The 23,655-nt window shown below is 50.7% G+C and overlaps 3 annotated features.

The window, feature by feature from the left end:
* Positions 1,432-1,932: an enhancer, noted in NCBI's record as "H3K4me1 hESC enhancer chr9:116875188-116875688 (GRCh37/hg19 assembly coordinates)". NCBI's record gives its function as "activates a minimal SCP1, AML or CMV promoter by ChIP-STARR-seq in primed H9 embryonic stem cells {active_cell/tissue: H9 hESC(primed)}" and the evidence as "EXISTENCE:reporter gene assay evidence [ECO:0000049][PMID:30033119]".
* Positions 1,933-2,433: an enhancer, noted in NCBI's record as "H3K4me1 hESC enhancer chr9:116875689-116876189 (GRCh37/hg19 assembly coordinates)". NCBI's record gives its function as "activates a minimal SCP1, AML or CMV promoter by ChIP-STARR-seq in primed H9 embryonic stem cells {active_cell/tissue: H9 hESC(primed)}" and the evidence as "EXISTENCE:reporter gene assay evidence [ECO:0000049][PMID:30033119]".
* Positions 8,193-8,487: an enhancer, noted in NCBI's record as "tiled region #2704; HepG2 Activating DNase matched - State 5:Enh". NCBI's record gives its function as "activates a minimal TATA promoter and a strong SV40 promoter by Sharpr-MPRA in HepG2 cells {active_cell/tissue: HepG2}" and the evidence as "EXISTENCE:reporter gene assay evidence [ECO:0000049][PMID:27701403]".

Below are 23,655 nucleotides of genomic sequence, written 5' to 3' on the forward strand. Positions count from 1 at the left end.
GTGAGCCACCACAGCCAGCTTCTTTCTTTCTTTCTTTCTTTCTTTCTTTCTTTCTTTCTTTCTTTCGTCTCTCTGTCTCTCTTTCTTTCTTTTTTGTTTCCTTTCTCTCTTTCTCTCTCCCTTTCTTTCTTTTTGACAGAGTCTCACTCTGTTGCCCAGGCTAGAGTGCAATGGCACAATCTTGGCTCACTGCAACCTCTGCCTCTTGGGTTCAAGTGATTCTCCTGCCTCAGCCTCCCAAGTAGCTGGGATTACAGGCATGCATCACCATGCCCGGCTAAATTTTTGTATTTTTAGTAGGGATAGGGTTTCATCATGTTGGTCAGGCTGGTCTTGAACTCCTGACCTCAGGTGATCCACTGGCCTCAGCCTCTTAAAGTGCTGGGATTACAGGTGAGAGCCAATGAGCTTTTTGAGTGTGAGGATCACATCCCAATGCCCAGAACACTGTGCTAGGATTACAGGTGTGAGCCGCCACGCCCAGCCCACTCCAGGTGACTCTAATGCACAGCCAGGATTGACAACCTTGGCTTTTCGCTTTTCTTGATGTCCAAAGTCATTAACCCAGCATATGTATTGGGATAGCTTCTGATAGAGTAATTTCCTGGGTCCTGTGGGCATTTTTTTTTTTTTTTGAGATAGGGTCTCGGTCTTATGCCCAGGCTAAAGTGCAGTGGTGCAATCATGGCGTACTACAGCCTCAACCTCCTGGGCTCAAGTGATTCTCCCACCTCAGCCTCCCAAGTATCTGGGACTACAGGCGTGTGCCACCATGCCCAGCTAATTTTTGTATTTTTTGTAGAAACAGGGTTTTGCTGTCTTGCCCAGGCCAGTCTGCAACTCCTGGGCTCAAGTGATCCACCCACCTTGGCCCCCCAAAGTACTGGGATTACAGGCATGAGCCACTGTTCTGGCCCCTGTGGTTATTTTGAGGATTGTGTGTGTGTCCTTCCAGTTTGTCCACCCTTCTCTTGGGACCAAACTTCCTGATGAGCCATTTCACTGAGGTTCCTGGAATCCCTCTTTTCATTGCTAGCTTGGAATTCACCGAGAAAACATGAGCCAAATAGAGTGAGCTGCCTACAAGCCCTGCCTGAGGGGCCCTTGGGATCCTTTAAGAGTTTTCCAGACCTTTTCTCTCTCCTAGGTTTTTCCACCCAGATGCTGATGACCCACTGTGTTGTTTGGTTGTGAATACAGATGCATCCTCTTCCAAGAAGCCCTGCTGGATTGGGGCTGGGAGCCCTCCTCTGAGGACCAGCAGCCTCCTGCACCAACCAGCCCTATGACCTTACCCATTTGGTGGTGGGGAGAAGGTGTCCACATCTGTCTGCCTCATAGAACTCTAAGCTCTCTGAAGGCAGGGGCAAGATAATCTGATAAACCGAATAGGTTTTCTGGGCATGTCTGTGAAACTGAACAACAACAGCAGCAGCTGGAACTGAATTTTCCTGGGAGCCCAGGATAGGAACTAGACTCCTGACCAGAAAGCAAGGGATGGAGAGTCCAGGAGAGCTTCCTGGAAGAGGTGGCATTGGGACAGGCTTGAAAAGATGGGCAGGAATTGGGACAGGCAGAGGAGAAGAAGGGAAGCATTTCAGGCAAAAGGGAACAGCAGAGGTGAGACAAGTGGAAGGGTGAACTATAGTTTAGTGGGGTGGAAGGCTGGGAAGAATGGGGGGATCATACTCCAAGCCTTCAGAGGACAGAATCCCAGGGTACAGTCCTGGCTAAAAACTGATTTCTACTCCGTCTTCTGGATGAGCAGAACGTGGGGATGCTCCCTCCTTCAGGCTTTTCCTGGGAAGCCCCACCCGCCTTATCTGCATGGAGGACACCAAGTTCCCAGGGCTGGATGAGTGCCAGCCCCGGCTGCTGACTTGCCGCTCTGGCAGCTAAGGAGCTGGAACGTGGAGCTGGGACTTCCACATAAGTCCAGCATCCAAGTCCTCAAAGTTGGTCCCTCCGGAGCAGCGGGAAGCACGTCTCCCAAGCTGGAGTCACTATTCCTTGCTCTGTTGCCCAAGAGAACCCTGCAACATGCACCCAGAGCCTCAGTGTTGTCATAGGTACATGAGGAGGAGTGTGGGCTAGAGGCATCAAAAGCCCTGCCTGCTCCAGGGACCTGGGATTTCTGAGAGCAAATGCTGCCTCTGCCTCCCTGGGGGGAGACACAGCCACCCCCTCCCCCAACACCAGATGAGACTCTCATCAATCCCAAGACCGAGTCCTATCCGGCTTAGGTGGATTGATTAGCACCACTTTCTAGGGCTTTGTACCCTTCATTTCTTCTTGCCAGCTCCATCTACCTAGACCCCTCTCTTTTCCAGTTCTCAGAAACTGGACCCTCTCTTTTCTCCCCAGAATTAAAGGGGTGCTGGATTCTCTTAGTCTTGCCTCCCTCCCTTGGCACATATGCCCACTTTGGTACTACTACTACTATGACCTCTACTAGTATTGCTGCCACTGTCTTCTCGTAGTCCTTCTAGTCCTTTACTACGACCCTGCCAATGCTTCTACTATTACTGCTGGCACTTCTTACTATGACCACCACAACCAGTACTTCTACTACTATTGCTTCTACTGCCTCTACTGCATCCCCCGACAAATCTCATCTTGAATTGTAATCCCCATGTGTCAAGAGAGGGACCTGGTGGGAGCTGATTGGATAATAGGGGCAGTTCCCCCCACACTCTTCTCCTGATAGTGAGTGAGTTCTCATGAGATTTGATGGTTTTAAAGTGTGGCACTTCCCCTTTGCTCACTCTCCCTCTCTCCTGCCATCTTGTGAAGGTGGTGCTTGCTTCCCTTTCGCCTTCCACATGATTATAAGTATCCGGAGTCCTCCCCAGACATGAGGAACTGTGAGTCAATTAAACCTCTTTTGTTTATAAATTACCCAGTCCCAGGTAGTCTCTTTATAGCAGTATGAAAATGGTCTAAAACATAGTACTTCTTACTCTATTACCACCAGTATTTCTACTGCAGTACTGCCACCAGGATTGCTTCTCTTGTTATTTATACTACTACCACTTTGCTACTACCGTAATGATGACTACATACTATTTGCAGCTACTGCTAATAGCAGCAAACGTTATGAATCACACACAATGGGCCAAAGACTGAGCTAAGCACCCTGTGTCAATTGATACAATTTAAACCATGGCAACAGACATCTGTGGTGTAATATTATTGACAAAAAGAGTCAAACTCTGTAAAATGTTTATTTTATTATTAAAAATTATTATGAAATTGAAAATTATTATTAAAAAGAGATTTATTCTGAGCCAAATAAGAGTGACCATGGCCCATGACACAGCCCTCACTCAGGAGGCCCTGAGAACACGGGCCCAAGGTGGTTGAGTGCAGCTTAGTATTATACATTTTAGGGAGACATGAGACATCAATCAAATACATTTAAGATATACATTGGTTCAGTCTAGAAAGGCGGGACAACTTGAAGCAGAGTGCATGTGGGGGCTCCCAGGTTTATAGGTAGAATAAAAAAATTTCTGATTGGTAATTGGTTAAAAGAGTTATTATCAATAGAAAGGAATGTCTGAGTTATGATAAAAGGTTGTGAAGACCAAAGTTTTATCATGCAGATGAAGCCTCCAGGCAGCAGGCTTCAGAAAGAATACATTGTAAGTGTTCCTTATCAGACTTCAGGTCTGCGTTGATGTTAAATAGGGGTCAGCTTTTCCTGAATCCCAAAAGGGAGGAGGGCTACTGAGGCATGTCTGACCTCTGCTTCCCATTATGGCCTGAACCAGTCTTTCAGGTGAACTTTGGAGTGCCTTGACCCAGAGGAGGGAGTCCAGCTGGTTGGAGGGCAGGGGGCTTAGAATTTTATTTTTGGTTCACAATATCCTCCCTCCTTTATTGATGGGGAAACTGAGCTTTGCAGAGGCTAAGTAACCTGCCCAAATTCATAGAGACAGTAAAAGACTGAACCAAGACCTCAACCAGCCACCTAACGACAGGGACCAAGTCTGAGATCTAGAACCTTTCTCCTTTGTCCTTTGTCTACCTTCAAGAGTATATCCTTGTCTTCTCTTCAGTCCTCTGGAAAGAATTACTTGAAGTCAAAGAAGGAAAGGGGGCCTACCTCTACAGATGTCTAGAATGCTGTGAGCAATGTACATAGTAGGTGTTCAACACATACTGTTTGAATAAATTGGATTCTAATGATAACCTTTTGAGGTAGGAACAAGGATCTTGATGTTGCAGTTGGGGACACTGAGATTTTCAGAAACGCTGTGGTCTAGCTAAGAGGTGAAGTTGGGACCAGATGCTAGAATTCAGTCCTTTCATGACCTCGAATACAAAGTGAACTGTCCGACCCGACCACAAAGTCTTCTGTGTGCATTGTACGTCACGGTTTGCAAAGCTCACACATCTGTTATTTAATTCTCACAACAGCCCTCAGAGGGGGTGATCGGTTCCACTGTAATGATAAGGAAAACCAGATTCAGAATGCTAAGGCAGCTTTGGAAGGGCTCATGGAGAGGCAGCAGCAAATCCAGGATTGAACCAACTCCTCCCTACTAACCCAAGGGTGGGAGCCTCCCAGCGAAGACTCCAAGAAGTCTCTCTTGGGACAGCCCACCGCCACTCCCTGTCCAGCCACCTCAGCCCCTAGGGTGGGCAAGCCCATGGCCCCAAGGGGTGGAGAGAACCGGTTATTTCCAGCCTGGTACTTAAGGGCTGGCCAGGGAGGAGGGAGGAGGGTGTGAGCCGGCTGGCAGGCTCTGTGCTCCCAAGAGGGTCTGGCCTTTGGCTGCTGAGAACTGGGCAGGGGGTCAGGAACTCCTGTCCAAGCCACCCAGGCCAGCTGAAGCTGGGCAGGTGTCCCAGGAGAGGGCAGGCCACTCCCTCCCCAAAAAGGCAGGAGTATGCAGCCAATATGCACACAGGCGGCTCATTCAGCCCCTGCAGCTCCTTGGCCCTGCCCTGGGCCGTGGCCCCCAGGCTGAGGCACTGCCCCTGCTGTTCTCGGGAGATGGAAACAGACAGCAGTTCTGATCAGGACCTGTGGGTCAGTGAAGAGCAAACACATCCTGCTCTGAGCACCGATTGGGTGCCATCCATCCTCTGCAGCTCTGTAAGGTGGAAATTCCCGCCTCCCACGGTTCCTCTCCCACTTGTGTGTGGAATGCGATCACCACGCTGCCTCCCTTTCAAAGCGCCCAGTGTTTCCTAACTCAGGACCTTTGCACATGCTGTCCCTATGCTGGGGGTACCTTTCCTTTGGCTTCTCACGTGACTGGCTCCTTTGTCTTCAGGTCTGACTGTAAAAGGTCACCTTTCAGTGGCATCTTCCCTAGCTCCCCTCACTCATAATTTTCCCCACCTCCCATGCACACACCTTGTCTCTGTCACCCTCCTCTACTTTCTCCTCAGCATTCTTATTTATTTATTTATTTATTTATTTATTTATTTATTTATTGAGATGGAGTCATCTTGCTCTGTCACCAGGCAGGAGTGCAGTGGCGTGATCTCAGCTCACTGAAACCTCCGCTTCCCGGGATCAAGTGATTCTCCTACCTCAGCCTCCCGAGTAGCTGGGATTACAGACACGTGCCACCACGCCCAGCTAATTTTTGTATTTTTAGTAGAGATGGGGTTTCACCATGTTGGCCAGGATGGTCTCGATCTCTTGACCTTGTGATCCCCTCTCCTCGGCCTCCCAAAGTTCTGGGATTACAGGTGTGAGCCATCGCGCCCTGCCCATATTTATTTTTTATTGATTTTTGTTTGTCTCTCTCCCCATAGGAATAAAGAATCTATTTTATGAACTATCAGGTCCCCAAGGTCCAGCAGAGGGCTTGACACATAGAATCAACATTTATTGAATGAATAGATGGAAGGGAAGTGAAGGCTCTTGTCCACCTTGTCCATGTTCTCATTGTTAAAGAAGGCATCACCAACATTGAAACTCGGGTCTGTCCGTCTCTAAAGAGGCCCCCATTTCACCTGTGGGTGTGCTCAGTGAGGACACCATCTTCCCTGCAGTGATTTTTTTTCTCTGCCCCAAAGGCACGTTCTTTATACATGGGGCATGGTGTCTCCTCCAACTTCCCATCACACGTCCTCCCGCCTCTGCTTGCATATCTCCAAAAGACAGGGAGCTCACCCCATCCACTGCAATATTAGAAAGTCCCTTCCAAGACTCTACGACCTTCAGAACAATGGAACGGGCAGTTCTTCACAATGTTCTCAAATGCTGAAGAGGAAGAATTGCTGTCGTTAGCACAAGGCTGTGGACTTGGACAATACACTTTTCTGTTTATTCATTGATTTTCTGAGCCCCAACCATGGGCCAGGGCTGTGGTGTCGAACTAGAGAGCAAAAGAGCCTTGGTGGCCGCCTTCTCGATGATGTGTCAGGTCCACTGTGGCCTTTGGGCCCTAGAGTGGTGGTGGCAGGGGGGTGATGGAGGAGGCATGTGGAGTGGATCAGATGCTTCTTGAAGTCGATAGTGCACACAAGTCACCCAGGGATCTTACTAGGATGCAAATTCAGGGACAACAAATCTGGGTAGAGGTTCTATGTTTCTCCTAAGCTCTCGGGGGATGGTGATACCACTGGTGCATGGACCACACTTTGAGTAGCAAGGTAGAGACTCAACTGACAAAAGAAGACAGTGAAGCCTAGAGCAAGTCAGGGACTTGCCTCGGGTCACTGGTCAGGCAGCAGGAGCTGAGAAGGGACGGCCTACCTCCGCGGGCCAGGGCTCTGGAATTCGTGGGGCAGGCTGGGCTGAGTATGCCTTTGTGAGGCATGGCATACCTGGACTCACCCGAGCTGCCCGTCCCTGCCCATGAATAGTGGGCCTCTTTCCTTCCTGCATAAGGCTTGGCGGGCGCAAGCCCACGGCCGCCCCCTCCCCTGCACACACACTTACACACACTCACACACCCCTGCCGGCTCAGCTGCCCTCCCTGTTTGGGGAAAGTCAACAAGAGCATTTGAAAAGTCTTTCTGTGTGGAGAATCTGTTTGTATAGGGGGAGGAAACGGAGAGCTGGCCAATAGGTAGAAATATTAATGAAGCTTGTTATAAAGGGCCCATTCACGGCTCTCCGAGTAAATAGGGCTCTTGTCGGGCTGCCACGTTATCTGCCAAGTTCAAGAATGTGGTTTGAAAAAATAGAATTTAAAGGGGTGAGGTGGAGCCTTCAATGGCTGGCCTGCTGGAGCTGGAGCCAACTCCAGGAGGAGCCTGTGCTGTGGGGGGCTGTGGCTGGGGACACTGGAGGTGCTGGGTCTTGTGGTGAAGGCTGCCTGGGAAGAGGGGCTGGTGAGGAGCCGCTGGAGTTCCGACTTAGAGAGAATTCCTGTCCACCGGTGTGGAATGCCCCGTGCCATTCCTTCCTCCCCTTGGTGCCTGGCACAGGGCTTGCAGATCCTCTGCTTAGCCCCCCAACCCAGTCTACCTTAACTCTCCTGCCTGGGGATTTGCCTCTTGGGATGTTGGTGGAGGGGATCTCTATATGGTAGGAGGAGGGCTTTGTAGTAATTCTTAGCCATAATGCTGTGCTATTCCACAAACCTCAGCCATCTTCTCCCACGCCCTTACGAGGTCCTACTTTATACATTCTTACCAGATGCTACATAAGAAAGAGCATAAGAGACTGAGATGTTTGACTCAGAGAAGGAAAGTGACCAGCTCAAGGTCACTCAGCAAGTGTGTAGCAGAACTGGGACTTGCTTCAACCAGTTTCCTGTTGGGTCATTGTTCCCGGCACTGAAGATAGTGCCTGGCCTGAGGGGCTGTCTTGTCATTTCACATGTACAGTGTCTTACTTTTAGCCCTGGACTTAAAGCAACTTATAAGCAAGGACCGTGTCTTATGCTTAGTTTTCCCCTGGCCAGCTGTGTGGTCTTGGACAGGTGACTTTGCCTCTCTGAGCCTCAGCTTCACCATTTGTAAAATGGGGTCATTGAGACCAAGCCCTCCTTTCCAGAAGACTCAGTGAGAGGATGTTGGTGAAGTGCCCAGTGCTATGCCAGGCCCTCGGTGGGTGGCCCAGGAACAGTGGCTGAGGGCACTTCTTTTTCTGTTCCAGCCCACAGTGCAAGGGTAGAGACTCCAGGAAGACTGTCTCCTTTACACTTGGACCCTAGAAGGCTGGTCTGTGCTGAGGGTCATAAGAAGCTGGTAAATTGAGAATCAGGGGTTTCTGCCACCCATGGCATTAGGCGGCAGAGATACATGTGTGTGTGAACTATCACGAGGGTCTGTCAAACAGGCCCTGCAGGAAGCCCAGGCAAGCCCGGGTGACCTTTCATCCTTTCCCCCAGAGAGCTGCACAGAATACACCTCTGTCAGACAAGGGTTAACCTGGGTGGGAGGGAATATTTACACTGGCTTTTCTTTGCAAATAAAAGTTGGTGGCTGGGTGGGGGTGGGGGGGTGGGGAGGGTCGGGGGGTGTCCCATAAAACAAAAAGGAAATAATCTATGCAAAAACTAAATGGAAACGTGTTTTAAAAGACTCTACCAAGAGCTTGCTGAGTGACCCTGAACAGTGGGGACTTAGGGAAAAGTTGACAGCATCCCCTTTAAGAAGAAGTGGTGTAGCATAGGTAGGGCCATGAGCACAGGCTTTGGGGCTCACAGACCGAGGTTAGAATGTGGGCTCTGCTCTTCTCTGGCTATGTGACCTTGAGCAAATCGTGGACCTCTCTGGGCTTCCATTTCTTTGATTTGTACAAGAAAAGAGAAGAGAGGGTTAAAGTATGTGAAGGTCCCTGGCACTTCATGGATGCTCATTAAATGTCAATTTCCTTTCCTTTCTGGGCCTCTTGGCAGGTCGAGGGGAAGTGTCTGACAGGTCTCACCAGCCAGACTGGAGAGAGACACAGCTCTGCAGGTCTCAGTGCCTGCACACCAGCTCAGTAGCCTGATGCTGACTATGCCCCTAGAGCCCTTTACAGTTTGTAAGGCATTCACCTACTTGCCGTTAAAGCCTCCCAAGAATCCCATAAGGTGGTCATGGCAGCATTTACTACCTTATGGTGCTGTGACTGGGAAAGGGTAAGGGACAAGAACCCAGTGCTCTGGGGCGGGGCCCAAGTCTGTCTTCATTCCTTCATTCCTTTAGCAAATATTGATTGAGGACTTGTTATGTCCAGGCACTATGCCAAGCATGGGAGATACATAATGAATAAAAATCGACACAGATGGGTGGTTGATGGATGGGTGGATGGGTGGATGCTGGTCAGATTATGGGTGGGTAGATGGATAGATAGATGGATGATGAATGGATGGGTGAATGGATAGATGAATGGATGATGGGTAGATGGCTGGCTGGCTGGATAGATAGATGATGGATGGATGGGTTGATGGATGGATGGATGATGGATGGTAGATGGATAATGGATAGGTTGATGAATAGATGGGTGGATAGATAGATGGATAGATGGTTAAATGATGGATAGGCAGATAAATAAATGAATGGATGATGGATAGATGGGTAAATGGATGGATGGATGGATGGATGGTGGATGGGTGGCTATGTAGATGAATAAGTGAGCGAAAGAAGGATGACAAGTCCCTTGAGGACAGAGCCCTGGTCTATTCTTTCCACCACTGGGTCCCCAATACTGAGGATGGTGCCTGATACAGAGGGATTAACACTTGCCATATGAGTGTCTTCTTTGGTTGAGTAGACTCAAGAACCAGGCTGCCTGGGAGTCTGAGACCCAACTCTGCAACTTCGTAGCTGTGTGGTCAAGAAGAAGTTACTCAATCTTAAGTGTCCTCAGTTTCCTCATCTACAAAATGAGGTTGACAATACTTTATAGGTTGTTGTGAGGATTAAATGAGTTAATACATGGACATCCCTTAGATCAGAGCTGTGCCTGGTGCACACCAAGTCCCACGTAAGCATTGGCCACATTGATCATTTTTATGGTTTCACATCTGTGCTCCCTCCCGTCTCCTGAAAAAGATAATAAATCCTCTTAAGGCAGGGCTCTGGGCTCTGGGTGCCCTGCCTACTATGCCTCCTAGTAAAAATATGTGTTGACTCTGTGGCTTCAGAGAAAGGAAGATCTTAAATCCAAAGCAGGGGCAAAAAAACTCCAGGGTACACATTCCACTGGGGCCAAGGGCACAGCTGGCCCCTGACTGAGGGAGGCAGGATGGCAGGACAGTCAGAGCCTTGGGCTGGGAGAGGAAAGGTTGCATTTCCATGCTGGCCCTGGCATGGGCCTCCTCCTGGGGCCCAGGCTTCTTTGAGCTTGGGTCTCCGCAGCTCCACATTGACAGAGATAGTCTCCCATGAACCATTCAAGTTACAGACTGAGGAAACACAAATCAGGCTATCTTCGGCTCCTCATCCTCAATTTTCCCTTCTTTGAACAGATTTTTCCGGATCGGAAAAACTGAGCCTTTGCTAGCCTTGGAACACACATGCTCTCTCTCTCCAGGATGAAATGCTGTGTCAGCGTCAGCTAGTGGTTGAGGATGGCACCAGATGGAGCGCTCATTAACGCCCCCGAGCAGCAGCTCAGGGTCCCCCCGGGTCACCTCCCCAGAGTACACAGGCTCAGCTTTCTCTCTGGGGCCGCCGACAGTCCCACCTTGTCCTACCCCTGCGATTTACAGGAGTCAGTGGTTGACACAAGTTCCCACCCAGCGTGGGCTCGTGGGCCCGTGGGCTCAGCTGGACGCCAAGAACCACAGAAACAGCTCCCACCCGCCTACCCCCTCACTCTGCAAGTGACTCATTGGGGTTTGGAGTGGGCCACCCTAGGGGTGGCTCCTTGTTGGAATAAGACAGTCACCCTCTAACAGAGCAGGCAAAGATGGCATGCCAAACCCCTTGCTTGGCAAGGTTTCTGACCAGAGGGCACCAAGGCATCTCCTTCCAGCCAAGGAATGGCAGGCACTCGATTGGTCATGGCCCTCTGGGAGCCTGGAGCCCAGATCCCCGGGTTCAGAGCGGGAGACAGAGACACAGCCAGAGAGGGAAGTTGATGAGGTCACAGTCACACAGCAAGTCAATAGCAGAGCTAGAACCCTGCAGACCAGGTTCATGGACATCTCATGCTCCCCTAAGGCTCTGCTGCTGAAGAAACCCAGGCTGGTCTTCTGGGTGCCAGATGAGACTCCTGGACATCTGGTCTTCAAGGCAGATTGCTGGGTCTTCCAGGCTTCCAGGCAAGCCAATGAGGTCCCTTGTGTATGACAGAAAGAGAAAGGGATGTGGTGTAAGAGAAAGGCTGGGCTTTATAGTTGGGCACAATGGGCTTTATAGTTGGACACAACTGGGTCTGCCAGTTACTAACAGGATAAACACAGACAGGTTACTTTAATCTCCCTGAGCCTCAGCTTTCTCATCTGTACGATGGGGTAACTTATCACCTCTACATGTTGGATTGTTGGGAGGATTGCAGATATCAAGTGTCTGAGGCAGAGTAGGCTCTTCATAATAGCAGCTACAGCAATGGCGAGGACTTCTGCTCTAACTGGCCGGAGCAGCTTGAGTGGAGGGGGTGGCTGGGACAGGATGCAGGCCTTTCAGGAGCTGGAGCACCATCCTGTAAGCACAGACAGAAGAGCCCTAGGGCTGAAAAATGGGTGGCCTGCCCGGGTCATCAACTTGCTAGGGAATAACTGGGCAAGTCTTGCAGTTCTCCAGGACTCAACAATGGGGTGTTGGGACGGAGGAGCTTACCGCTGCAAATTTCATGTTGGCCTAGCTGGCAGAACAAGGACTGCACCCATGCTGGGGCTGCTCCCTGTCTAAACAGATATTGCTGGAGGAGGTGGAGACTCCAAGTGGGGCATACAGGCAGGAGGTGGTGGGAGGAAAGGAGCTGGCTAAGCTGGGATGGGCCTGGCAGAGCAGGGGCTACTGCCTCAGGCTTCTGGGCTGATTACCCAAAAGTTAGTGAAGGTCTAGTACCTTCAGACAAGGCCCAGATGCTCAGGACCAAGGGTCTTTTGCAGTAGCAAGGAGACCGCTTCAGCGCCTCCCTGTAATGCTGGGAGTCCTGGGCTGCCACCACCCTGGTTTGGGGTTCAGACTTGCTTCTTTGGGTGAGGCCCAAGCAGGCCTATCAGTTCTCCAGGAAGAAGGGAACACACGGAGAGGCCCTGGCTCTGTGGGCCAGGCTGTCACAGTCTCTCTGCCCAACAATTAAGCCTGCACCTCTGCATAAGCACCTTCCTAAAGTGCAGCTCCACGTCTGCCCTCTCCTCAGCCCTAAAACCTCCCATGGCTCCCCAGGGCCTGGAACCAACTTCATATCCTGGGTGTCTGTGACTTATGGAGGCATTTCAGAGGGTCCCAGAAGCCTTGACCTGGGTGCCAAACATTAGGCATGCACATTTGTCTGGGGTGAGTTCCGTGGTTTCATCAGATTCACGTGCAAAACCTCCACCCCATGGGCTGAAGTCCACACTCTTGATTGGCATTCAAGGCCCTCCCCAAGCTGGCCTCAGCCTGGATTCCTGGTCTCAGCACCTGCCTCTTCTCATGCCTCTCCCTACCCTACCCCATTCACAGACCTGGGGTTCAGCCTAAATGATCCCCTTGTACTTGCTCACACTGATCCCCCCTTCCCCTTCACTCTTCCAGGAAGTTTTCCCTGACTGCTTCTCCTTCTTCCAAACACATAACATCATCCGGGCACCCCGTTTGCAGTCTTTCTCACAACCACCCTCCCTTCAGCACCCCATTGCTTTCACTGGGCACAAACCTTTCTATCTCTTGCCTGGACCCTCACAGTAGCCTCATGTCCACTCACTCTGCTGCCCCCACCCCCACCCTACCCCTGGCTACTTGGCCAACCTCCCAGCCCTGCTTGTGTCACTCTCTTACCCTGGGGTCCCTTATCTCCTCCCAGGGAATCTGGGTGATAGGGCAGAGGGGAGAGAGGAGGAGGCAGAGGAGGGGGAGGAGGGAGAGGAAGGGAGAGGACAAAAGACAGAAACAGGGAGGGAGAGAGGGACCTCGGAAAGGAGAGAGAAATAGAGTCAGAGCCACAGAGAGGCAGAAACAGAAAAAGGTGTGGAAAGAGAGGATGACAGGAGGAGGGGGAAACAGGGAGACAGGATATAGAGGCAAGGGGAACTAGAGAGGGATGCAGACAGGAAAAGACAGCGGGATGCAGAGAAAGGCAGACAGGGAGAGGGCAGAGAAACAGAGACCACCAGAGATGATCAGGATGCAAACACAGAGACTGCTGACAGAGAGGGCCAGAGCAGGCTTTGGGCAGAGCTAGAAAAGAAGACTGAGGCTGGGATGGCCTCCACCTCCCCCAGGGAAATTTCTCTCCAGTGCCTCCCATCCCGGGAGCCCTAGCCCTCCTCTCCTTCTCTGAGCAATTGATCCTCCCCAGGGCCCAGACCATGGGCAAGGAAGCAGGGCCTGGTACCCGATCCTGCTTCCTGGTGGCTCCCTGCCCTCCCCACTCTGGAGGCTCTGGCCTGGCTCCTTGTCCAAGACAAGGCTCCAGGAATCCCCATCACCGTCTCCCCACCCCCTAAGAAGTGATTTGGGCCAGGTCAGTGGGCATAAGGAGTCACAGAGATTTAGAATTAGGGACCTCCAGGTTCAGAAAGTCCAAATGGCTGCCAGATAAGCTGTGTGATACTGACCCAGGACTTTAACCTCTCTGAGCCTCTAGGGACGTGGAAGGAAGATTCGGTGTTGTCTGGGAGGGACATTGAGAGAGCTTGTGTTACACCCTCAACCTGCCCGCTCCCATCTCCCAATACTTTCCCAATCCCAGTCGTGCTTGAAGCCGATCTCATTTCACCATATCAATGACCACTGCTCTGGAAAGTGGGAGAAGAAAGGGCTGGGGTGAAATCTCTGGCCATTTAGCTAGGGCGCACACGGCCCAGGGCCTATCTCAGGTTCCAGCTTCACCTCTGCATTGGCCTCCGCCTCTGCTTCTGGGAGATGGGAGTTAAGTTACCTGTCAACAGACGGAGCCTGTTTAACTGTTTTTCGCCTGGGAGGATGGCCTGGTCCTGCAAAGCCAGGGTCTTATTGAGAACCCTGGCTGGGGTACGGAAGAACAACAGATGTGGCCATGGTGATGATAACCATGGCTGAGCTCGCTCCGCTGTACTCTGCCCAAGCACTCTGCTTAGCATTGCGCATCCTGATCTCAGTAACAGACTGTGTGAGATAGTACACGGATCCCCCTCCCCCAACCCACAGTTAGGGAAACTGAGGCTCAGGGCCAGTCAATGGTGGTACCAGGATTCAATTCCAGGCAGCCTGACTTCAGAGCACTCATATCCCATTAAAGGATATAAGAAGAGTGACACTGGTATTGGTGCCCATCCTGGCAACCTTCCTGTGGATCCAGCCCAGTCCCGGGCACTGGGAGGCAGGAATCAGCAGCCCGACCCTAGAGGTGCTCACCACCCAGTGGGAGAGAAGAGAGTCACCCAGTGGGCAGAGGATCCACCCCTCAATGAGCTCCTTCTGCAGGTCAGGCTCTGGGGAGTGCGCACAAGTGCAGGCTCAGGCACTGCACTGCCTGGGTTTGAATCACGGTACGTGGCTTTTCAACTGTGTAACCTTCAGCAAGTTACTTAACCTCTCTGGGCCTCCATTTCCTCATCTGTAAAATGCTCCCTAAAGTTGTCATGAGGATGAAATGCACTGACTCTTAGTGGTCTTAGAGCTATGCCTGGCCCATGCCGAGGGCTTAGGTGAGTCACCCACAGCGTCTTCATCAGCCCTTTTTGGAGATCTCTTTAATTATCCTAGCAATTCTCTAAGGATGCTATGATAATCCCCATATCACAGATGAGGAAACTGAGGCTCAGAAAGGTAAAATGACTTGAGAGTCAGGTAAAAGGCAGAGCCAAGATTTGAACCCAAGACCACAGAAACAAGATCCTATATTCTTAATGATTTTTGTTGTGTAACAGAGAAAAAACTTTTTCTTTCTTTCTTCCTTCCTTTTTTCTTCTCCTTCCTTCCTTCCTCCCTCCCTCTCCTCTTTCTTTCCTTCCTTCCTTTCTCTTTCTTTCTTTCTTTCTCTCTCTCTCCTTCTTTCTCTCTCTCTTTTTCTTTCATTTTGCTCTCACTTTCTTTCTCTCTCTTTCTTTCTATACATATTTATTGAGCTTCTTCTACACACCAGGCCCTGTGCTGGGGCTGGAATCCTTGGCCTCCCCAGGAAGGACCTGAGTTCCCCTTACAGACCCTGAGGACTAGAGCAAGGTTTTCTCCTGCTCTTTCCTGACTGGCTGAACCTGGGGCTGCCTCCTCCCACTTCCTCAGCTGTAGCTGCTAAGGGAAGAAAGCTTTGATTGGGCCCCGAATGGTGGGCGGCTGGGCAGGTCTGGGGGTATCCGGTTCCGGAGACAGGCGCCCCTGTGAACACTGCCTCCCTGTTCCCCACTGGCTCTATTTTTCTTAATGCGAAAGTGCGCTGGTGGAGCCCTCGCGTAATTAGGTAAGACTTCATCTAGTGGAGCCGGTGAAAGGACGTCTGTGAGGAAGGGCTGGTGACAGGGGATGCAGAAAGAGAGCCGACCCAATTCCCAGGAATCAGAGGCCACTACCAAGGTCTGCCTGGGCCGTGGGCACCTGGCTGGGACACAGGCATCAGGGCCCCAGACCTGGTGGGGCCAGAGTGAGAAGTGCGTGTGAGCACCAGTCCTCGGGTGGTGGGAAGGGGAGTGGAGAGGGGTTGCCAAGTCCTCCAATGATCATCAGTCGCCAGCCCTCTACTCAGACCCGCCTTCCTTCAGGAGCCCTCTCAGGCCATGTTCTGTGCCCTCAGCTGGGTTCCCATAGCCCCTAGAGCCTGCATCACTTGTCATACGGATTGGAATTGCCTGGTATCTGCCTGCCCCCTTCTCACCTCTGGGCTCTGCTCTTGCTGTTTTCTCTCCTTGGCACTCTCTGCTTGCTTTCCCTCACTTTGCCCAGGCGCTTTTCGAATGTTACTTCCTCAGAGTCTTCCCTGACCACCCTAGCTAGATTAGCCTCATGGTGACTTTTAAAACATGGCTCTGAATTCTCTGACCTTCCTCCTATCAAGAGGTGGGGTCTCTGTCCCTTCCCTTTGGATCTGGGTGGGCTGTGACTGTTTTGACAGTGTGCTATGGAAGGGACACTGGGACATCTGAGGCTGTGTCATAGAAGGCCATGGAACATCTGTGGTTTTGGCTGGGACACTTGTTCTCAGAGCTCTGAACCACCCCATGGCAAAACTAACCACTCTGAAGCTGCCATTTTGTGAGGAAGCCCAAGCTACACAGAGAGGTCATGTGTAGGTGCTGTGGTCACTGTGCTGGCTGGGCTCATTTTTCAGTTATCCCAGCCAACAGACTGGCATGCCATATTAGCTTCCCAGGGCTACTATAAAAAATTTCCACAACCCTAGTGACTTAAAACAACACAAGCTTATTCTCAGACAGTTCTGAAAGTTGGAAGTCCAAAAGGAGTCTTACTGGGCTGAAATCAAGGAGCCAGCAGGGAGAATTTATTTCCTTGCCTGTTCTAGCTCCTGCAGGCCTCCTGCATTCTTTGGCTCACAGCCTCCTCCTCCATCTTCATAGCCAACAGAGTGGCATCTCCTGATTTCTCTCTGTCTATGACCTCTGCTTCTGTCATTAGCTGTTTTTCTGACTTCCCTGCCTGTTTCTTTCCCTTCTAAGGACTCTCAGGATGACTTCAGCTCTATACAGGGGATCCAGGATAATCTCCCCACCTCAAAATCCTTAATTTAATCATATCGCAAATCCTTTTTGCTGCATAAGGTAGCATATTTCATGGGTTTCAGGGATTTGACTGTGGACATCTGTGTAGTGGGGAGGGCATTATTCTATTTACTGCATGCGAATGAAGACACCTCCAAGTGATTCTAGCCCCAGCTGTCCCAGTCATCCACAGCCATTTGAGTCTGCCCAGTTGAGGCCCCAGACATCATGGAGCTGAGACGAGCCCTTCCACTGTGCCCTGCCCAAATTCCTGACCCATAGAATCTATGAGCATAGAACTGGCTGTTGTGTTGTGCTCCTCAATTCACAATTTTTTTTTATATAGCAATTGGCAATGTTAACAAGCCCCATATTTCTCTTCATATTGAATCCACTTAGCCTGCTTTGTTTTTCTTCATGGTACTTATAAAATTACATTATACATTTATGGGATTCCTTTATTTTCTGTCTCCAACTAGAATGTAAGGTCAGGGCAATCAATACTTGTTGCTGTATTCTTCTTCTTCTTCTTTTTTTTTTTTTTTTTAGACAGAGTCTCGCTCCGTCGCCTAGGCTGGGGTGTAGTGGCACAATCTCAGCTCACTGCAACCTGTGCCTCCCAGGTTCAAGCAATTCTCCTGCCTCAGCCTCCTGAATAGCTGGGACTACAGATGCATGCCACCACGTCCTGCTAATTTTTTGTGTTTTAGTAGAGATGGGGTTTCACTGTGTTTCCCTGGTCACAAACTCCTGAGCTCAGGCAATCTGCCTGCCTTGGCCTCACAAAATGCTGGGATTACAGGTGTGAGCCACTGTGCCCAGCCACTTGTTGCTATATTCTAACCAGGCATATTAGTCCATTCTTGCATTGCTATAAAGAACTACCTGAGACTGGGTAAAGAAAAGCAGTTTCATTGGCTCCTGGTTCTGCAGGTTATACAGGAAGCACGGATGGGGAGACCTCAGGAAACTTACAATCATGGCGGAAGGCGAAGAGGAAGGAGGCACATCTTACATGGCCGGAGCAAGAAAGAGAGCGAACAGGGAGGTGCTACGCACTTTTAAACAACCAGGTCCCATGAGAATTCACTATCACAAGAAACAGCAAGGGGGAAATCAACCCCCATGATCCAATCATCTCCCACCAGGACCCTCCTCCAACACTGGGGATTACAATTTGCCGTGAGATTTGAGCAGGGACACAAATCCAAACCCTATCACCAGGCCTGGCAGATATTTGTTCAATGAATAAACTCGTGTCTCCTCCATCAGGCTGTAAGCTCCCCGAGGTTAAAAACAGGTCTGTCTTGACAATCCCTGGTTCCCCAGAACACTGGCCAAGTAACAACACTGAGCAGGGACTCAGTACATGTTAAACAAGTGACTCTCTTACCTTCATTTACCCCACACCTCCCTGAGAATCATGAATTCAGGGGGACTTGGAAGGTACATCTGAGTTCATCTTTCCAGGAGTCACACACTTAAATGCCTCGGGGTCAGCTAGGAGCATAGGTACAAACTAGGTCATGACCTTGTAAGGCACTTGGGAGTGCTGAGGCCTGTGGCCAACTAACTGGTGGGCATGTTTGGATAATCAATTAAAACACATCTCTTTTGGTTATTCTTTTCTTCCTCTCTGGTCTCCCTGTATTAGTTGGTGTTCTCCAGAGAGACAGAGCCAAAAGGATATGTATATCCTATATGTGTGTAACACACACACACACACACACACATATATAGAGAAATTTATGCGGCATTGGCTCACACAATTAGGAAATCCAGGGGAGCTGATGGTGTAAATCCCAGTTCGAAGGCGAGAAAAGATGAGCAGCTTAAGTAGTGAGGGAGAGGAAAAGGTGGTGGGAGCATGGGTGGGAAATTCCTCCTTCCTACAGGTTTTGTTCTATTCAGATCCTCAACTGATTGAATGATGCCCACCTACATTGGGGAAGGGGATATACTTTACTGAATCCACTGACTTAAATGCTAATCTCACCTGGAAACACCCCAGAGACACACCCAGAAAGCAAGTTTAATCTGGGCACCCCGTGGCCCAGTCAAGTAGACACATACATTGAAACACCACACCCTCTATCCACCCTCTGCCCTTCGTCCCCTTCTCTGTGCCCCAGAGGGCTGTCCTCTCCAGGTGGGACTGCCGGACTTGGCTTCGTTGCCCCGATTCCTGAATGGATTTGGCTTACGGGAGACACTGGCCAATCCAAAGGTAGGAAAGGAGTGAGGTCAGGGTATTTGCTTCCTCTCTTTCCTGCTGTGGCTTTGGTAATGACTGCTCTCCTGAGGCCACAGGTCCTGTCGGGCACCCCCTTCCATGGCTCTTTCTCTTGCCTGGCCCCAGTAACACATTTCCTTACCTTGTCCCTCCACACTACAGTCACTAGCTCCAGGGTGCTTTACCAGCCCTGGTTGGTTCCCATAACCCCGCCCATTGTAGATGCCTTGCTTTAAATATTTCCGCTGAAAAGTTTTTATTATTATCAATAGTAGTAGCATCTTTATTTATAAGCTACTTGGTCATTTTTCCTGGAGCATTAAATGCTCTTTCAGCTGACCCCTTTGGAGTATGCTGTCTCCTGCCAGAATCCTGAGTGTGACAAACATTTGTAGACCTCATTTGGCCCTGGATTCTGGTCCAGTTCCCTAACCAGGCCAGAAGTTTCCCCTCCAGTCTCTGCCAGGGACATTGATTTCTGCTTGCCCCCTTCCCCCTCCAGTACTGGTTGTTTACCACCTCCCATTTTCACTCTTTCGTTGTTTGGCCCTCTTTCTCAGCATAAGTGGAAATCTCCCTCCAGAGGTTCCTCTTAAGGCCCCCCGACCCCATGGACTATCTTATACAGGGGTGATGGTTAACACTCCCCCATTGAGAGGATGGTTTCAGCTCAAATGCCCCTGGGACTTCACCTGGACCTTGGACCTCCCATCTCTGCCAGTCCCAACTTCCTATCTAGACTTACAATAGTTTGTCCATATCCACTGATTTTGTTCCTGGGCATTGGTATCCAAGGGTCCAGGCAGAGATCAAAAGGTGGATGATGGCCGGGCATGGTGGCTTGCCCCTGTAATCCCAGCACTTTGGGAGGCTGAGGCGGGAGAATCGCTTGAGCCCTAGAGTTCAAGACAATACTGAACAACATAGTGAGATCCTGTATCTGCAAAAAAAAGAAAAAGAAAAAATTTAATTAGCCAGGCATGCACACCTACAGTCCCAGTTACTCATGTGGCTGAGCTGGGAGGATTGTTTGAGCCCAGGAGGTAGAGGCTGCATGAGCTGTGGTCATGCCACTGCACTCCAGCCTGGCTATAAAGTGAGACCCTGGCTTTAAGAAAAAAAAAAAAAAAAGGTGGATGAGACAATTCTGCCCTTGGTCCGGGCTGTGGTTTCTGGTAATAGTAACTGAGTCAGGTTTCCATGAGACAGATTTCATGATCTTTGGTGACAACTTTCTAATGCACTTGACTTCAATCAGTGTAATCAATGAGTTCCCCACACCAGATCTTCCTCACATATTCCCCCACTACCAGAATCCCATCACTGTCCGCGTTGCTCTGCCATGACCCAGTCAAAGGGAATGGGTGCAGCTCTGGCTCTGTTCCCCTTTCTGGGTTCTGGAGAGTCCCTGTCATACCTATTTTTCTTCTTTTGAAAAAATGAGACTTTTAGATTGGGTGGTTAAAAAGAAAAAAGCCAATGACTGACTGATATCCTCTATACGTGAGCCTTCTTTTCATAGCACTTTATCAGCAGTTGTAAGTTTCTATTTATATGTTGATTATCCCACAAAAGTCCCTCTTCCTACTAAGCCATGAGGCTCCACCAGGCTAGAAGCCTTGGTATCCTCGGGGTGTGGCACATCATCTGACAATGCTGGGTGCTCAGTAAATTTTGGTTAAGTGAGTGACTGCCTGGAGGAATTAAACAACACCCTCCTCAGCTCAGCATTGAGTAGACAGCTCCCCAGATCACCAGGGGACTCTGTTCTGGCCCCCTGCCCAAACTGAGACACTCAAGAACTTCCTTTGGGGGAAAAAAAAGTATTTTTTTCCTGGTGGCCTGCCTAGCTGCCAGGCCCCCTTAAATGCCCCAAGAATATTCCTTCGAGGCTGCGCTGGTAGAACAGCCCAGAATTCTTTGAGGAGCTACATTGGGTTGCCTTTTTTTCCCTGCTGCCTCCTAATATTAACCTGGCGCTGGGCCCCTGGCCCCCACGCAGTGATGGGAGGCCCTGGATGGAGCCAGCTAACGGATCCATCTGGAAATAGAAAAATAATCCCAACACTAGCGGTTTTGTCTGGCGCCCTAGTGGGGTGTGGAGCAGGGCTGTGAAAGGGGCTTTGAGGGCCAGCCGGGGAGGGCTGTGGACGCCTCTGCCCCCAGCACTGGCTGGGTACCTGTGCCCAGTCCCCCAAGACAAGGGGCAAACCTGCGGGGAGAGGGGCCTGTGTCACAGCTGACTGCGAGATGCCTAGACTAGCCAGTGTTCTAACCCGGCCTTGAAGCTGCGTGACCTTGAGCGAGTGGCTCAGCTTTTCTAGGCCACATTGCCCCTATGTTCATAATGGGGGTTATAAGGCCTGTGCCTTGGAATTGATGTGACAGTTAAATAACATATGGTAGCTAACAGAGCACCTAACATGGCACCTGGGGCTAGAACAAGGGCTAAGCAAATATGCTATGGCAGTGACTATTATTTCTGACTTCGGGAGATGTGGCTGATAAACCACAGGGGGACCTTGGGCAATCCCATTGGGCCTCCATCTTCCCATATGGGTGGCAGGAAGTGGCCCAGGTCCCTCCAGTCCCAAAAGCCAGTGAGGCAAGGTCAGCAGCTGCTTATCTGCCCCAAGGAGAGAAGGAGATGCCTTATCCTCTGGGGAGCCTGCCGTGTGGCTAGAACCCAGACAGATCACTCAGAAGCGCGTGGAAGCTCCCAGGGGCCTGTTGCCAGCATCTCAGAAGAGTCTCTGAGCATCCTCGGGCCTCTCCTGGTGCTGCTCATTACTTCTGTATTTCCAGGGGGCTGAGCAGAGGAGGCGGGGCTGGGAGGAAGGGGTTCTTTCCAGAGACTCAAAGGGCCCAGGATGGAGGTCCCTTTTCTGGGTTCCGGAGAGTCACTGTCTGGAAAGGGGCCTCAGGCTGGCTCCCCACAGCTCTGCTGCCTGCTCTATGCACAGAAACCTGCGAGGGGAGGAGCCCTGGGTCTGAGGTCCTGTATCCACCATGCTTTGTGTGTCTTTAGGCTAGTTATGTCCTTCCTTGTTGAAGTTTCCCATTCATCCATTCAGCAAATATGTCTTGAGTGTCACCTCTACTCCAGGCTCTGTCCTTGTCATTACAAATGTAAACAAATGGCATAATGTTTATGCTCCTTGGGGACAGGAAGATTACTGTGACTGGTAACTTTTCATGACAAAGGAGAACATCCAGGATGATTTCTAGATTTCTGTCTTGTAAAATGGTTATGCCAGAAGGTGGGAGGGACACCCTGGAGAGGGAGCACGTTTAGGGTATGAGGAGATGACAGTTTCAGTCTTGGACAGGTTGAGTTTGATGTATCCAGAGGACAGCTGTGGAGGACCAAGGGGAGTTGGATGGAGGGGCATGAAGCTCATGGGAGATGACTGTGCCAGAGATAGAGCATGGGACAGAAGAAGGGCCTGCCTGGGCTCACTATCCCAGTTTCTCCACATCCCTCTGTGGTGGTGACAATGATGATGATGATAAGAATGGTGATGAAGGCAATGGTGATGCTGGTGGTAATAATGACAATGATAATGATGATGACAACTGGCATGTATTGATGGCTTCCTTCGTGCCAGACATGCCCCATACCAAGTGGTTTCCATGCCACCTTCCATTTAATGATCAAAACAGCCCTGAGGAGTCAGCCTTAGTACCCCTATTTTCAGAAAGAATTGAAGCTGAGCGGTGGTCATCTTTGGCTGAGTTTCCTAGAAACAAAGACAGAGAGAGAGAGAGAGAGAGAGAGAGAGAGAGAGAGAGAGAGAGAGAGAGAGACTGAGATTCAGATGTGTGGGATTTAAGGTCTTGCTCTGTTGCCCAGGCTGGAATGCAGTGGTGCAATCATGGCTCACTGCAGCCTCAACCTCCTGGGCTCATGTGATCCCCCGACTCAGCCACCTGCGTAGCTGGGACTACAAGTGTGAGTCACCATACCCAGCTAATTTTTGTATTTTTTTGTAGAGATGGGGTTTTGCCATGTTGCCCAGGCTAATCTTGAACTCCTGGCCTCAAGGGATCCAAAGTGCTGGGATTACAGGCATGACCCACCACGTGTGGGATTTGTTGACACAATCCGGGAAGGGTGAGGGCAGCAAAGGGGAGCAGGAGAGGGAAGGGGACAGGCGAGAGGTGAGTCTGTGGCATGAGCTGCACAGCAGGCACAGCCAGGCCTCTGATCCCCACCCCAGGCACTGGCCTCTCAAGGCATCCCCTGGAGACCAGCAGCCACACATCCACTTTGGCATGGGTGCACACAGGTACAGGGAGCAGCATCCTAGTGAGAGAATCTGCCACGTTCCCAAAGCTATGGAGGGCTGAAGCCTAAAAGACAGAGCTTGGGGTAGCCTTGCTCAGGCTGATCCTAGCAGGTATTCAGGAGATATTTGTTAAATGGAGCCTGGAACTTTCTAGGAGTCCTGACCTAAGGGGTCTCTTTGTCTTGCTTGTCCCAGAGCTTGGGATCTTCGAATCTCTGGCTGGGATGCACCCCAGAAAAAACACTTCCAGTCTGCTGGGTCTCCAGCTTCTCTCCCTGTGTTGCCTGGGCCATAGCCCAGTCCTCTGTCACGGGAGTCCTGAGTGGCTGCCTGAGGTGGGGCGTGGAGACTGTGCCTGAAGGGGAGGGGCTGTCAGGACAAGAAGCCAGAGGCAGGGGCAGCTGGACAGACTCTTCCAAGGCCTGGGAACACCCTCACCCCT

The sequence above is a fragment of the Homo sapiens genome, chromosome 9, assembly GCF_000001405.40.
Source record: "Homo sapiens chromosome 9, GRCh38.p14 Primary Assembly".
NCBI classification, from domain to species: domain Eukaryota; kingdom Metazoa; phylum Chordata; class Mammalia; order Primates; family Hominidae; genus Homo; species Homo sapiens.